Genomic DNA, 17,103 nt, shown 5'->3' with positions numbered 1-17,103 from the left:
ATATATTATATTATACATTATATATAATATATTATATTATACATTATATATAATATATTATATTATACATTATATATAATATATTATATTATACATTATATATAATATAATATATTATACATTATATATAATATATTATATTATACATTATATATAATATATTATATTATACATTATATATAATATATATATTATATATTATAATATATAGCATATTATATATTATAATATATAGCATATTATATAACATAATTATAATATAATATATAACATATTATATATTTTAATATATAGCATATTATATATTATATTATGTTATATATTATATTATATATTATATTATTTATATATTATATTATATATTATATTATTTATATATTATGTTATATATTATATTATTTATGTATTATATTATATTATATATTATATTATTTATATATTATATTATATTATATATTATTTATATATTATATTATATATTATATTATTTATATATTATATCATATATTATATTATTTATATATTATTTATAATATTTATTATAGGCATAATATAATTATATATCAAATTATATATAATTATTTATATTTGAGACAGCCAGGTGGGAGGGGGCCCTGGAGAAACTCCAACCAGCCTGTCCACTGAGTGGAGCCTTGGGATGTTTGCGCCCTTTGCAGTGGGAGGAGCTTGGCCCCTCCTCTTCTTGTGTGGAAGCTGAGATTCAAACAGCAGATGGGAGGCACTCTAGCAGGGACTCTGGCCTTACATAGGATCCCTTTTTTCCTTTTTATTCCCTTTTCACCCAATAAAACCCTGCTTTACTCATCCTTTAAACCATCTGCAAGGCTAAATTTTCATGATTGTGGGACAGCTAAGAACCCCACCTTTGGCCGAACTAGGAAAATTCTTGCAACATAATTATATAATATTTATGTATAATTATAGAATTTATATATTCTATAATTATATCCTAAATATAGAATTTATATGTTCTATAATTATATATAATCTCACATTTTATATATACATAAGATATTATATGATTATATAAGTTACATATAATTAATATCTTATACAATTTTATAAGATATTATATATATCACTATATATATATATCCCTAATAAGATTTTATATATACACAAGGAAATAAGGGAGTCTTCTCAGCTAGAACAGGGGAAAGGAGATGAGGATCAAGAAAGGTCTGACTGACTAATGTGGTGGTTATCTAGAATCTATATCCCCTAATTGTCTTTCTCTTGTGGGACCCTTATGGGATTTAGATGCTCCTCATTATTTGGTGAGTGTATTAGTCAAGGTTCTCCAAAGGGACAGAACTAATAGCACAGATGTATATGAAAGGGAGTTTATTAGGAGAATTCACTCACATGATCATAAGGCGAAGTTCCACAATAGGCCAGCCACAAGCTAAGGAACAAGGAAGCCAGTCCAAGTCCCAAAACCTCAAAAGTAGGGAAGCCGACAATGCAGTCTTCAGTCATTGGCTGAAGACCTCAGAACCCCTGGGAAATCACTGGTATAAGTCCAAGAGTCCAAAATCTGAAGAACCTGGAGTCTGATGTTCAAGGGCAGGATACATCCGGCATGGGAGAAAGATGAAGGATGAAGGACTCAGCAAGTCTCCTCATTCCAGACTCTACTGCCTGCTTTATTCTAGCCATGCCAGAGCTGATTAGGTGGTGCCCGCCCAGACTGAGGGTGGGTCTACCTCTCCCAGTCCACTCACTCAAGTGTTAATCTCCTTTGGCAACACTGTCACAGACACACCCAGGAACAATACTTTGTATCCTTCAGTCTATTCAAGTTGACACTCAATATTAATCATCATAGTGAGCCTTCATTATTGGGTTCTTTTATGAAGAGTTTTCTTGAATCTTTTTCAAAAGTTTTTCTTCTCCCATCTCTTCTACCCTATTGAATCCTCTTTCCTAGTGAATAGTTTCTCCTGATGAATTCTAAATAGCCTGGAAGCAGGTGATGGATCACATTGGCAAAAAAGCGTTCATAGTTTTAACACATCTGCAATGAAAGATTTCTTTCTGCCATTTGAATGTTCATGTGAATGGAATCCAATCTATGGTTTTCAGCCTTTGGGCCTTGGACAAAATACAATTATAGAAAAGTCACAGGTTATCATCTTATCCTGTCACCTGTATAACTTCAGGAGTTGTGAAGTGGTCTACCTTGAAGGAAGAGTAAAAGATAAATGACTGAAGAGAGAACACAGAGAAAGGCAAAGAGAAAAATTAGAAGAAGAAAAGAAAAAAAAAAGATTACTGGTAGTCCATTTCTTGAAGCCTAACTATATTCTTGCTCTTGGAATCTATGAAACATCCTTTCAAGTCATGCTTGTTTCATTTTTAGTTTATTACTTGAGTTATTAAATTAAATTAGGTCATTGTTTTATTCTTGCTTTTTTAAATTACTATTGTTTTTGTTTTTCTGTAGCTAATAAAATTATAGAAACAGCAAGGTTATCTGTTAAAATGAACTTCTATATTCTCTTTTTACCTTTCAGGTTGCAGCTGATGATTCTGTAGAAAGGCCTAAAATTAATTTTAGAAAAGCATACTCAAGACAATAGACTATTATTACACGGATAAAAAATGTTAGTATTTAAAATAATTTTGATAAATATTATTTTTAAAAATTATTTTATAAACAATTGCTGGGTTTATAAAATGTGACTATTTGGAACAAACAAATTTAACATTAATCTGCATTTAGTCTTCATACAATCTTCAAAGTCAACGATTTGTGCCTAGGTATTCATATTTATTTCCAAAACTTCATAGAAGTCCTAATTATTTGGGAGTAAGCTATCTTATAAGATCCATCAAAGTATTAGAATAAAATTTGGAATAAAGGGTCTATTCAGCCCCAACACTAAGGGCACTAATAATATTGAAATACATTGGCAGCATCACTACAATTTAGTAATTTATGATGCATTGTGATTTTTTACGTTTAAAATTTTTGAACTGACAGCTGAATTAATGTAGAACTTTTGTAATTCCTTAAGTATAAATTAATTTAAATTATATTTAAAATGCTTTTCATTTTCTTGACTTTTTCTCAAGAAAAATGTATTAGATCAGTTTAAAATAACTAATTAACATAAGAAATACTGCATTTATGTCTGATGCAGAGTTAATATTAATAATTTATTCATTGTGTATAACATACCACTGTTTCATTATCACTTAGTGTAATTTAAAATATCTCGATTTTCAACATACTTTACTTTGCCCTAACTTTTGGAGGGGGGGAGAGGTGAATGTTTCTTTTTTTCAAAATCTTAAATAGTGATTACAAATATTTTTAAATTTATCAAATATGAGTTAGAAATTTTCCAGATGTAAATACCTTTAAAAATAATGCTCTAGGTAGTAAAGGTGCAAATCATGTGGCAGGCAATAACTATATGTTTTCTCTAAGTCTCAGAACTCTTCTGATGCTGCAGTAATTCTTATCTTTATTTTAGACGTAGAGAAACTGAGGCAAAATGTCACAGAACTCACAAGTGGCAGATAGGACTAGAAGCTAATGTTTTCAAATCCCAAACCTATGCTTGTTCTCTTAACACGCCCTCTTATCTGAAAATCTATAAAGAAGAACATGTTCTACAAGGTATAATGCATGAAGAAGTTAACAAAGAATGTGTTTTTCATATAAAATCAGAATTTTAAAATAGTTTCAGCTCGAATGGCAGTGAAGAGAAGAGCAGAGAGAAATCAGTTGAAAATATAAACATTAAAATGTGTGAAGATGACATTGATTTTAAAAATCAATCTCATATTTTTTTCTAGTTTTCCATGAAAATGATTTTAATGACATAGGAAGAGTTTCTTTCCAAGAAATTTAGATTGATGACTAGCTTAATACCAAAGTTTGTGAGGAGTTTTTGTCTGACCGGGAAACAGTGTTTCATCTGGGCTATGTGAACACTGGTATAAGAAGTCTCTATCCCTTCAGCATCTCTTTGCTTCAGTTCAAAGTACCCTGGCTCCCACCATCAGAAATGTAGGCAGTATGGCCTAAAAATTATTTGCACACATGGGCAGGATTTGGCAGGGAGCTAGATAAATATTTATTTTAGTTTAGCACTGTTAGATTAAATGCAATTTTGCTAGGTACTGGAGATTGTTTTAGCAATTATGCGTAACATTTTCATCCTCAATAAGTGATAAGAAGAAGATTAAAAAATAATTCAAATGGAAAAGTGTAGGATAAATGACAGCTAGCATTCTCTGTGAGGACAAATTTTTGCTTTGCTTTTTTTTTTTTTTTAAAGATAAACTCTTCTTGTTTATTAACAGGAAAAACATTTTGACTCCCAAAATATAACACAAAGCAAGAAAGGAAAAAAAAATTGAAGATAGAATAATAAGAATATATTGTGAAAATAGAGTTGGGCTTCTTTGAAAAATATTCCAGTTAATGTAGCTCCTCAAAACATTATCAGATATATTTCTTAAAATTCAAGACAATATGTTAAGTTAGTGAAAGATGGTTTTAAAGGTTAAATTACCATTTAGAACAAAGTGATATATTAAGTGATAACAAAAGTACAATTTACAAATAAAATATTAATCCATAAAAATGTATTCATCAGGCAGTATAACAACCAATATACAAAACAGTAAATACTCAAAGAGATTTTTTAATAAATACTATTATACAAGAGAACTTTATAGTGATACTCATTTAAATGGTTTGAAAGATGTAGAAAACAAGTAAGAAATGATAAAATTGAGACATAAAACCAACAAACTCATGTTGTTACAATACATGTTTGAAAGAATAAAAACATGAAAACATTTTTCAATGAATAAAATATGTATTTTCCCCTTATGTCTGTGAACTACCAATCAAAATATTGTCCATATTTTTAAAAAGCTCATCAGAATTAAAATGTGTAAATTTTACAACTTAGAAAACCAGAAATAAAAAACTTTCAAATTTTGACAACTTGGGAATTAACTCCGCATTATGATTAATATTTTCAGTCCTGGAGTCAGACCACCTGGCTTTGAATCCTGACTATGTTGCACTAGTTGTATGACCTCGGCAAATTTATGTAAAATACCTCTTCCTCAGCTTTAGTATTTTCTACCTCCTAAGGTTGCTGTGATAGTTAAATATGCCAATTCTAGTAAATGTTAGAATTCTGAAAAACAATTATATGAGGAACTATATACTATTGTATAGTTAAATATATGATTAAATATATTTTGTGTGTAATAATATGCTGTCTCGTGTTTTAAGTTGAACTTACATAAGCAACTTTAAATTTTTAGTTGCATTTGTTTCATGAGAGAAGGAAAACTTTCAGATAATTTTATTACTTGGGAATTAAATATTCAAACAACTCTCTGAAGTTTACAAGAGTTACTTGTTCATTTCTAGTACACAAAGATAGAAATTCAACTCTATTAACTAGATCAAAGTATATTTTTAGTTTACATTTTACGGATTCTGGTCAAAAAATATTTTCTAACATATTAGTGTCTTACCACATGAAATATAATGACTAATCGTATATGAATTTTGGAAACAACTGTATCAACAACACATCATTTACTCAGTGTTTCTCATTGACAGTTATTTAAACCTGAGGCTAATGATTTCTACTATACTTAGCCTTGGCTGCAACTAGTGATTACAATGATTTATTTTCATATGTGTACGTATTCAAATACATATGTATTTATATGCAAAACTTTAAAAGTAATTTAATATCCAATAAAGGATGCAGAAGACACTGGTAGGTTGAAAGTTACATTTTATGAAATTAATTAAAAGATAAGCAACGCAAGAAATTAAAGAAAAAACTATATGAAACTGAATTTATGAACAACTTGCTATTACGGGAAAGCTGCCTAATCATATAGTGATTGGTGCTTTTATGTTTTCTTCATATTACATTGATATAGTATATAAAATGTGGTATTCTAATATTCCTTAATATAAAACTAATAAGAAATGTCTTGTCTCTTCTTTCTCCTAAGGATTCCGAAGTTCAAAAAAGACATAAATCTTTCACTTTTTTGTTGTTTGCTTGCTTTTTCTCCTTGATTGGCCAATATTCCCTTTTTTTCTTCTCTTTTACTACATGACTTCATTTTTATATGGTCTAGACAGGAACCACTCTTACAGTTTTAGGACTAATCCAGTTCTGTGACTAACTTTGGCAATTATATTTTCAACAATTTAAATGAAAGATTTGTGCCAGTATGATATTTCCTCTGGGTCCACAGAGATTTAAAAATGTACATTCTAGTTTTTATTCATTTTCAAAATTTAAAGTTTTTTCCTAAATTTTCCATTGTTGTTATAACCACTTGCTTTTTCTAGAACAAAATGTTTCTAGCATTTTTCCATTTGTTCATTTTCCTTAAGTAAATACATGAATCTATATATATCTATACATATGCTTTATTCCTAATATCCTATGATAAGAAAACTTTTCTCATGTTAATCTGAACTGGCTTCAGGAATGCAAACTAAGGAACACAAGATAGATACACAAGAATACAAGGCAGAAATAGTATAAGATACAAGACAACATTTGGAACCCTGTAGCCACAAGGCAGGAATTTCACCAAAGAAAAGTATAAAGCTTAAGAAGAACTCTCTCAGAGGCAATAAATGTGATCCTGTCTCTCAGTGCTTCAATTTGAAATGCTGTTGACCAACAAGAAGCAAAATGTGGCTCTTGGACTCCATACAACAGATGGGCAACAATTGCCAAAGTTAACTTTATGAATAAGGGAAGGCTAACAAGTTCCAAAAACCCATCTCGGTTGTCACCTCATCTCACCTTGTTCTATGATAAATTCTCTACATTTCTGAAGTTCACCATTTTCCCTCTTGAGTCCTGCTGCATGTCAGCAGCTGTGGCTCACTCTGCACTGATTTGCTACAGGAAGACACATCTCTTAACACCGAATAAAGGCCAGGAGATAATAATATAAAGAACTCTGTATGTAGCAAACATTACAAGATAAATATACATGAATTAAATTAAAATTAATTTAAAAAGTGAATGCCATATATTAAATCTGACCATTTTCTGAATCCATAGTCTAGGAGTCACATGAGTTTCCTAATGAATAACAGACCCCAGTTTCTAACATCATTCATTCATTCATGTCTAGAGTCTAATCTCTAATCATTCAAAATATAAACATTAACAGCTTTCTTCTCTTGTATTTGCCCTGAAATCAGTTGCCTTTTATTGATCCCTTCATTTCTACTTTTAGATAAGACTCTTCAGGAATAAATTCAGGATTAAAATTTAATAATTTAAGTAAATTAAAAAGACTTCTTTTGCTCAATTTCTAGGAACTTGAATCAATCAATATTCTAGGAACTGTAAATACAGTAGCAAACCACACAGAAACAGATCATTGTTCTAGTGGAAGCAGATACATAGTTAAGTAAAATAACATTATAAGGCAGGTATACTACAAGGTATTAAATACTAAGGAGAAAATTAAGGGAGGAGAAGGGATTAAACAACATGGAGAGATGTAGTTTTAAAAAGTGGTCAGGAGAGGCTTCATTGAGAAGGTAACAGTTAAATAAAACTTGAAGATGGAAAAATCAAAGATTAAAAACTAAAATACTAATATATGCAATTAGAAGTTCTGCAGGATAGACAGCATAGTATAGAACATAGTAGAGTTTATTTGTAGAATAAATGACAGCTAAAATATATTATTAATGTGCCAAGCCCTGTTGTAATCACATCACATGGTACTATTTGTTAAGTTGCATAACAATTCCATGAATAGGCAAAAATATTACCAATATTCTACAGATAAAGAAACTGAGGCAAAGAAAGTTTATGTTATTTGTTCAAGGTCGCACAGATGATCAATATTTTTCTTCACAGGTGGTTTTCTTCCACATCCCAGTATTTTAACACTTTAATACTCACCTTCTGAGAGGCAGGGTGATTTATATTCTGTGCACTTACTCCCATGAAGAAAAATTAAAATCAGACTAATTCCCACCCACTGATCTTGGCCTTGTCCTATTTGGCCTCCATTGAAAACCTCCACAACTGTACAATTCGCTGGAGAATCTTTATCACAGAATAAGATATTCCATCCTCAGTAATACCACATATGGGAATCAGCCAAGCAGTGTAAATGGAACTTTGGAAGTTTCAGTCTGGTTCCTTTTACAGTCTGGTGCGAACATCAGAGGAAGATACGCCTCTAGGTCGTTTCTGAAATCAACATCCTCTGATCTCCATCTCCTTTAGGAAGGCAATTTTAGAAAAGAATATTCACACTCCCATATCCACACCTACATGTGCTACTCCATCCTAAAACTAAAAATATTCATTAAAAATCAGTCTATACAAAGAAAAAATAATTTCCCAAAGGAAACATCCTATGGAAAAAACAAAAATCTTGTAATACTTTCTGCTCCTATGGTTTTTGACACAGAAATACTCATGTATGCATGTGGAGGGAGATGGAATCTCTGTGGGTCTCACAAGCTGATACCACAGACCTTCTGGAGGCTGGCTAGGGACAGCCAAGTTTCCAGCTTTGGCAGGTAAAGAGCAAAGATGCCAAGGTGGCCCAAAAGGGTTTCAGACAACTAGTAAGTTGAAATCAACAGGAGAGAGAGAAGGAAAAGAAACATAACCAATAAAACAAGCATGATGAAAGAGTAAAATGAAAATACAACAATAAATAATTAATAGTAAAACCAAAATGAAGAGAAGGAATAAAACCAAATAGATTATTTATCACCATAAATGCAAATGATTTAAATTCTTCTTATAAAATACAAAAACCTGAAGCATCTCAAAGTGGTTACAAAACAAAATCTGGCAGTTTATTAATGACACATCAAGTACAAAATGACAAGAAACGTAAAAGTTAAAAGAATGGGAATGAGGCCAGGTGTGGTGGTTCACGCCTGTAATTCCAGCACTTTGGGGGGCTCTGAGGCAGGTGGATAACATGAGGGTCAGAAGTTCGAGAGCAGCCTGACCAACATGGTGAAACCTCTGTCTCTACTAAAAAGATAAAATTAGTAAGGTGTGGTGGCACATACCTGTAATCCCAGCTACTTGGGAGGCTGAGGCAGGAGAATTCCTTGAACTGGGGATGTGGAGGTTGCAGTGAGCCAAGATCTTGCCATTGCACTATAGCCTGGGTGACAGAGTGAGACTCCGTCTCAAAAAAAAAAAAAAAAGATAGGAATGAAATACTGCAAAAAATGAACAAATGGTAAGTGGGAGTAGAAATAATCAAACCAAATAAAGTCAGGTAAAGTGAATTTCAGAGCCAAAAGCACGACGAAGAGAGAGAGAGAGACATTGTTTTATTTCGCTAGGCTAAAATGTCTCTTTCTAATGTATTTGTGGTAGTATTTTGTTGTCTAAAATGAAGATAACCTTATAAGTAAATCCTGACTTCTGCAAGTCCATAAAAATCAATAGAGTCCTACCATATCAGATATTTTAATGCTTCTTTAAACTGGAAAAAAAACTTTAATCAAAATAGTTCATAACTTAGCAAAAAAAATTTAAGAAGTACCAAAAGAATATAGTAAAAAATGTTACTCACCTATTTCCCCATACTCCCAATGCCACCTTCACCCCATCCCTGCTTCTCAAATATGCTCACTTTTAAACATTGTTCAGCAGTTACCTTCATGTTTTTAATATGTGCATTGTGTTGTTTAATACTCGTGTTAGACCTTATTATTGCCACCTTGCTATAAGGGACTAAATGTTGTTTTACTTTTTCCCCTCCTTTACCCATCAGACCTGTCATGAATTTTCTCAGTATTTTTCTAGCCATATTTTAGTTAAATTTAAATTTATGTTATTATGCATGCCTTTAGAAATATTACTGTGTTATAATTGCAGTTTGGCTTTTCTATTTTTTTATTAATTGCATTTTTAATAGGCTTTTGTTGTCTTTTGCTGTCTTTGCATTATTTATTTATTGTATCTCCTCATTTGAACTTTTAGAAATGTTTAAGTTACATCGCCGGTATTTTATTAAGTCTGACCCTTGACACCTTCTTCCTAAAACACACTCTTTCGCTCTCCTGCCTCATCTAAACTGTTTGCCCTCTGTTCCTGCTGTGAACCACCTTTCCTGAGGCTGCCTTTGACTCCAGTCCCAATTACAGGTCTTCCTTAAAACAGATGCCAATAATTTCAGAGGAGCGGGTGTGTGGGAGGTCCTGGCATTTCTGAAAAATGTTTTATAGTGTTTTAATCAATTGATAGCTTAGGAAATTACACATTTAAGAGTTGAAGAGAGCATCCCTGAGAAACGTGAAAGCCTTGCTCCCTTGCCCTCCAATGGCTAACATAGTTCTTGAAAAAGTTAGAGGCCATGTTGTTTGTAGATAACCCGTTTGGTTTCGTTTTGTTTTGTTTATCTGTCTAGCAGCTTTTAGGTGTATTTCTCCAATTTTACTACAATCTCATGAAAATATACCTTGAGATGTGTGTGCATGTTTATTTAATGTATAAAATCTGATCTGGAGAGTACTATAATTTTTCTCTTGAAGATTTCCACTATTGTTTTGCAGATTTTCTTCCTTCAATTTTCTCTATTTTTATAATTTACAGAGAATTGTATAAATCAGATGGTGGATTTCCTGAAAATTTTCTCTATATTATATTTTTGCTCATGCTTTTTACTTCTCTCTTTTTTCCCCTACTTTCTGGGAGATGTTTTAACTTAATTTTCCTACAGTTCCCAGTTATTTCACATAAATATCTATAGTTATATTTTTCCAGATTTATTTTTCTCAGATTTTTCCCCAAACATTCTCTTTATGATAGATACAGTGTTTCCTGGAAATTTGTTGAACATCCTAATTAGAGTGATATTTGTCTAAATTTTCTTTTATTTCATGGGTTATCTGTTTCCTCTAGGGTAATTACTTTTTGATATCATCCTTCGTTATTTTGTGTTGCAAACTTTCCTAAACTGTCTGGTTATCATGAGTTAACTGTTGGTATATAAGAATAAAATAGCACACACACAAAAAAAACCAATTAGGAACTTAGTAACTTAATGTCCCTGTCAATCAGCAAGTTTTGCTTTAGGTTAATTAACTCTAAAATACCAAAGCTTGGAATCTTGTCCTTTGGGTTGCTGAAATTTCCCAATAACACTCGTTATCTACTACCTAGGGGTATAGAAGTCCAATTTCTTGAACACTGGTTATAGAGAGGGGACAAGTTTTCAATATTAAAAATTTCAAATTACTTTTTCAGCTACTATTTTACTCATCCTTTGAAAACAACATTCGGCACCTGGATCTCTCAAGGGTCCTATGAAAAACCTACTTTATTGTTCACACCCCTTTTGTCGCACAATCTATTTGTCTTCTTTAGACACAAGGTCTTACTATGTTGCCCAGGCTGGTCTTGAAATTCTGAGTTCCAGTGATCCTACAGCCTCAGCCTCCCTAGTAACTGAGACTCTAGGCAGGCACCACTATTCCTGGCTAATGATGCACCATCTTTGTAGCAGCTTTCTTTTCTCTTCTATATAGCACTATCTCTCTAGTCATTTTTCTTTTATTTTGTTAAAGTTATATGTGTTTAACAGTTCTTTATTTTGTATTTAGCTAATGTATATAGGCAACCCTTTATCTTTATTCAAAAAATGTTCAACCTTTCAAATACCCTAGGTTCAATTTTTAGGCAAAACCTGAAGTCAAACTACATAGATTAGGATGAAAGGGTTCTGTGATGATTCTCTCCATGGAAGAAACAGAATGAATAAAACTCTCTTCCAGAGAAAATCCCAATGACTTTGTATTTTCCGAAGTACATAGAACTCTACAAATTATGAAAAACTTGAACAAAGCCCTGATGAGATTAAGATATAAATTATGCTGATGAGTCTATCTGAAGGAAGAGCTTTCAGAAAAAGCAAAGAGAGAATAGCAAAGGAAAAGACCTTGTTGTAGGATCTGTCATGTTAAAGAAATAGTGATAAAGATAGTATGCCTAAAGTAGAGAGAGAAAGAGAGAGTGGTGAAAGACCATAAAGGGCTTCATAGACCATCGAGAATTTGATTGTTAATCTGATAATGATGGAAGTGCACTGGAGAATCTTGAGTAGGTGAATAATGAGATCTATTGGCATTTAGAAGGATCAATCTGGTTGATATGTTATTTGTTGAAAATAGAGATCACAGAGGCAAGGACAAAAAGGATAATCAATGATATAATTCTGTACCTTAAAAAATAAATGTTCTTGGCATTTATTTAACTTTATTGTATAATTCATTATTATGTGGTTTTCTTGGTTAAAACTTTAAATAATATAAAGGAATCTACAATCAAGATTGAATGTTTTCCATCAATTTAATTACCATTTCAGAGGTATGGAACCACAGAGCTTTGAGAATTTAATAAGACTCAAACAGCTTCCTCAAACTTTACCAATACTAATAGGATAATGGAGTTTGATTAAATTCTATCTCTTCAGAGCCAGTGTTAGTTCACATTAATTAATTTATTTATGGTTATAAACAAAAAAAAAACAGTGTAAATTTCCCACATGGCTATTAAAGAAACCACAATGTATGCTTAGTGCCTATTAATAGTATGGGCATTTTTCTTGCCATATAATGTTGCATTAATTTTGAATAAAAGTAATCATCACCTTTAATTAGAAGAATGGGAATTTATTATACATGTGTTGAATAAAATAATAAGTACAACTATCAGAAATAATTGAAAAAGTAGAGAGTAATTTGGCTAATTTAGAACAGTCAAATGCAGGTGAGTATTAAAGCACATTTGGAATGGCTGAATTGCAAGCTTAAAAACGTATTTGGGAAGAACAGCCAATGAAATAAGTTGTAAGTAAGGCCACAGTATAAAATATTAGGAACGTGAGGAGAAATGCTCAGAGGTGTAATAAAAAAATAAATGAACTGACAAAAATAAATATATAGGGCTCAGAAATCAAAGGCACTTAAAAGGACAATAAATGGTTAAATCAGTTCAGTTCATATAAATTAGACTAGAGCTCAACTAATATGAATTATCTTGAACAGATAGGGTCTCTGTAAATAGAAATTCTATTTGGGACAGTTACCATGGAGAAAGCACCTGGTCATATTCTTTCCAGAAGGGCCTGTGATATTATTCTAGGGGGCTTTCTTTATATAAAATATCTACCTCCTGACCAGAAAAAACTTCAGAATTTGTGTGTTGAGGAGAATTATATATAAACATTAACAATTAAAATTTTATCTAAAAAGATTAAAGAATAACAATGATTATTTTAAAAAATACAGAAAAAATGAAAGAAAGGTAGCTGTAGCTAACAAATCTTTAAAATGGTAGCAATAATATATCATCCATAAAATTATATATGAGAATGTAAGTCAAAGATATATAACACAGAATACATGAGAAAATAAACAAAAGAGGCCAAGGAGCAAATAATTCTGATTTCCTATTTTGAGTTAGATCTCAGATAGAAATGACATAAACAGAAACTGAACAATTCTAGGACAAAATATGTTTGTTAGTAAAATTATACATAACTTATAGTATCATTGGTAGATAATTAGATTTGGAGCTGTAACATCTGAATGACAACAAATTCACATGACAAAAGAACCTGCTGCCACTTCTGGGCACCAGACTCAGTAGCTTGCTTGCTGATATTGGCACTGGGTTTGATATACAGCAGCTTGCACCCCCTATACTATTGGTAGTCCTTGATTCCTGTTTTCAAAACTTTTATTGCCTTTGGAAACTACAGCTGGAGAATACATTAAAAAAAAATGAAAGGGCAAACAAATATTTTAAAAAATTTGTTAATGAAAACTGAAAAAAACAACTTTATAAGTTTATGTAGCTACTATGTTGAAAGAATACACAATCTCCTTGAATCTGGGGAAAAAAAAGCCATAAGAAGAAAGAAAATTTGTAAAATGGTAATAGAAGAAAAGGAGATAGAGCAGTTGAAGAAGAACATAAAATCTTGAAAATAACTGTCATACTATCCATCATGGCCAGGCGCTTACTGAGTTAAAAACATCCTGAATATGTACATTAAACTTCTGATTCTGATTTTTGAAAAGAAAATAAAAAACAAAGCATAAACAAAAAAAAAAAACAGCCAACAAGTATTGCTTTAGAAAAAATCCTGCCATCTTTTGAGTTTCAAGAATAACAAAAATTTGGACAAAAAATCTCATTTTCTTCAAACTGGTAATTGCTTTTCTGTATCACAAAACTTCAGAAGAAAATGAAGCAATCACTATGGAATTTTTTAATGTTCAGGTTTGTTACACAGGTAAACGTGTGTCATGGTGGTTTGCTGCACAGATCAACCCATCATGTAGATATTAAGCCCAGTATGCATTAGCTCTTTCCCTAATGCTCTCCCCTGCCCACACTCCCTGACAGGCCCCAGTTAGTTTTGTTCCCCTCCCCATGTCCATGTGTTCTCATTGTTCAGCTTCTGCTTATAAGTTAGAACATGCAGTGTGTGGTTTTCTGTTCCTGCATTAGTTTGCTGAGGATAATGGCTTCCAGTTTCATCCATTTCCCTGCAAAAGACATGACCTCGTTCCTTTTTATGGCTGCATAGTATTCCATGGTATATATGTACCACATTTTCTTCATCCAGTCTATCATTGATGGGCATTTGGGTTCATTTCATGTCTTTGCTATTGTGAATAGTGCTGCAGTGAACATACGCATGCATGTATCTTTATAATAGAATGATTTATATTCTTTGGGTATATACCTAGTAATGGGATTGCTAGGTCAAATGGTATTTCCAGTTCTAAATATTTGAGGAATTGCCACACTGTCTTCTACAATGGTTGAACTAATTTATATTCCTACTCACAGTGTAAAAGCATTCTTATTTCTCTTCAACCTCACCAGCATCTGCTGTTTCTTGAGTTTTTAATCATCGTGATTCAGACTGGCATGAGATGGCAATCAGGCAAGAGAAAGACATAAATTGTATTCAAATAGGAAGAGAAGAAGTCAAATTGTCTTTGTTTGTAGATGACATGATCCTATATCTAGAAAACCCCATTGACTCAGCCCAAAAGCTTCTTAAGCTGATAAGCTACTTCAGCAAAGTCTCAGGATACAAAAATCAATATGCACAAATCACAAGCATTCCTATACATCAACAACAGACAAGCAGAAAGCCAAATAATGAATGAACTCCCATTTACAATTGACGCAAAGAGTATAAAATACCTAGGAATACAGCTAACAAGGGAAGTGAAGGACCTTTTCAGGGAGAATTACAAACTACTACTCAAGGACATCAGGGAGGACACAAGCTGATGGCAAAACATTCCATATTCGTGGATAGGAAGAACCAATATTGTGAAAATGGCCATACTCCCCAAAGCAATTTATAGATTCAATACTTTTCCCATTAAATTACCATTGACATTCTTCCCAGAATTAGAAAACCTATTTTAAAATTCATATGGGACAAAAAAAGAGCTTGCATAGCCAAGACAATCTTAAGCAAAAATATCAAAGCTGGAGGCATCACGCTACCTGGCTTCAACTTATACTATAAGGCTACAGTAAGCAAAACAGCATGGTTCTGGTACAAAAACAGGCACATAGACCAATGGGACAGAAAAGAGAACTCAGAAATAAAACTGCACATCTACAACCATCTTATCTTCGACAAACCCAACAAAAACAAGCAATGGGAAAGGATTTCCTATTTAATCAATGGTGCTGGGAGGACTGGCTAGCTAGCCATATGCAGAAAATTGAAACTGGATCCCTTCCTTACAGCTTATACAAAAATTAACTCAAGATGCATTAAAGACTTAAATGTAAAACCCAAAACTATAAAAACCTTGGAAGAAAATTTAGGCAATCTATCAATCACTAAGGAATTTAGGGCAAAATTTTTTGATCTGAGGGTTCTGTAGTCAGGCAAGCACCTCATTTATATGTGATAGACATAAATGGTGTGCCTATCTATTCAGAGACTCACACATATACCAACCAAAAATATATAATTCTCCAGAAATTACATACAATAGAACCTGAACAGGTAAATGAATTAATAAACATAATTTTAGAAAGAATATTTGTGAAATTAATTTGTGGGCCTGTCTTCATTCAATTTCAGATAAGAATAAAGAGTGTAAACACGTTACCAAAGTGAATTCTTGAAATGGAAGAGAAACTTGGCCTTCTTTAGCTTCACCATTTGTTCCTGCCTTCCACCTCCAATAATAGTATATGTCTCAATCCTTGTCTATACTCCAAATTTGAATTGTATAATTAAATTGGTTAAAACTTACAAAATACTTTTCAATTATATCTGTAATAAACAATTTAGATTATTTATACAGTTATTTATACACTGGCTAAAAAGATTTTACTACACACAATTCTTTGTTAATGCAGAGACTGGATTTTATTTTATTCTACAAGTCTTTTTTATTATAACAGAGTTTTAGCAATTATATTTTTTATCTTTCAATTTTATATTGGACAACCTGCTTCTTTTTTTAATTAAAAATATTTTTTAAAATATTTATCTTTTTTATTTTGTTTATTTTATTAGTAACCTAAAAGGAAGATTTTGAAATAACTAATTCAAAATATACAATCTGATTTCAAAAATAGCAAAATTTTTAGAAAATTTTGAAAATGGCAAAAAAGCAAAAAGAAAAGATAAAAACATAAATTATTAATAATAATTCTACCCTGGTGATGTTTAGATTCAAATTTTACATTTAATTATTTTTCAATGATTCTACCTTACCTGAAAAGTAGACAAAATAACATTAATAATAAAATTATGTGCAATTTTATATGAACTATAACTATAACCACATGATGTGAAACTATTATTTGTAGTGGACAATCAATAGAGAGTAATCACAATGAAAATTGTAGCTTTCAGTTACACATTAATGTTATATTGGAATATCTGAAAGACATGGAAGTGACTACTTATTTGATGAACTGAATTAAGACAATTCCGTTATGATATATTTTGGTTTATTAAGACTTTGTAATTTTCCTAGCCTTTCAGGATATCATCCTGCTT

The 17,103-nt window shown here is 31.6% G+C and overlaps 1 long non-coding RNA gene across 1 annotated transcript in view; it reads left to right on the top strand.

Annotated features, from left to right (window-relative positions):
• LINC00448 (long intergenic non-protein coding RNA 448) overlaps positions 1–16,347 on the top strand; it is a 135,075-nt gene extending 118,728 nt beyond the window's left edge. Inside the window, exons 7-8 of the long non-coding RNA NR_047029.1 lie at positions 2,538–2,627; positions 16,174–16,347. This is a non-coding gene — a long non-coding RNA (long intergenic non-protein coding RNA 448). The remainder of the gene's footprint in view (positions 1–2,537; positions 2,628–16,173) is intronic.
• The last annotated feature ends 756 nt before the right edge of the window (positions 16,348–17,103 follow it).

The sequence above is a fragment of the Homo sapiens genome, chromosome 13 (assembly GCF_000001405.40).
Source record: "Homo sapiens chromosome 13, GRCh38.p14 Primary Assembly".
In the NCBI taxonomy this organism is placed as follows: Eukaryota; Metazoa; Chordata; class Mammalia; order Primates; family Hominidae; genus Homo; species Homo sapiens.
Note: the sequence above shows the minus strand (reverse complement) of the source record. Positions and strands in the feature narration are given on the sequence as shown.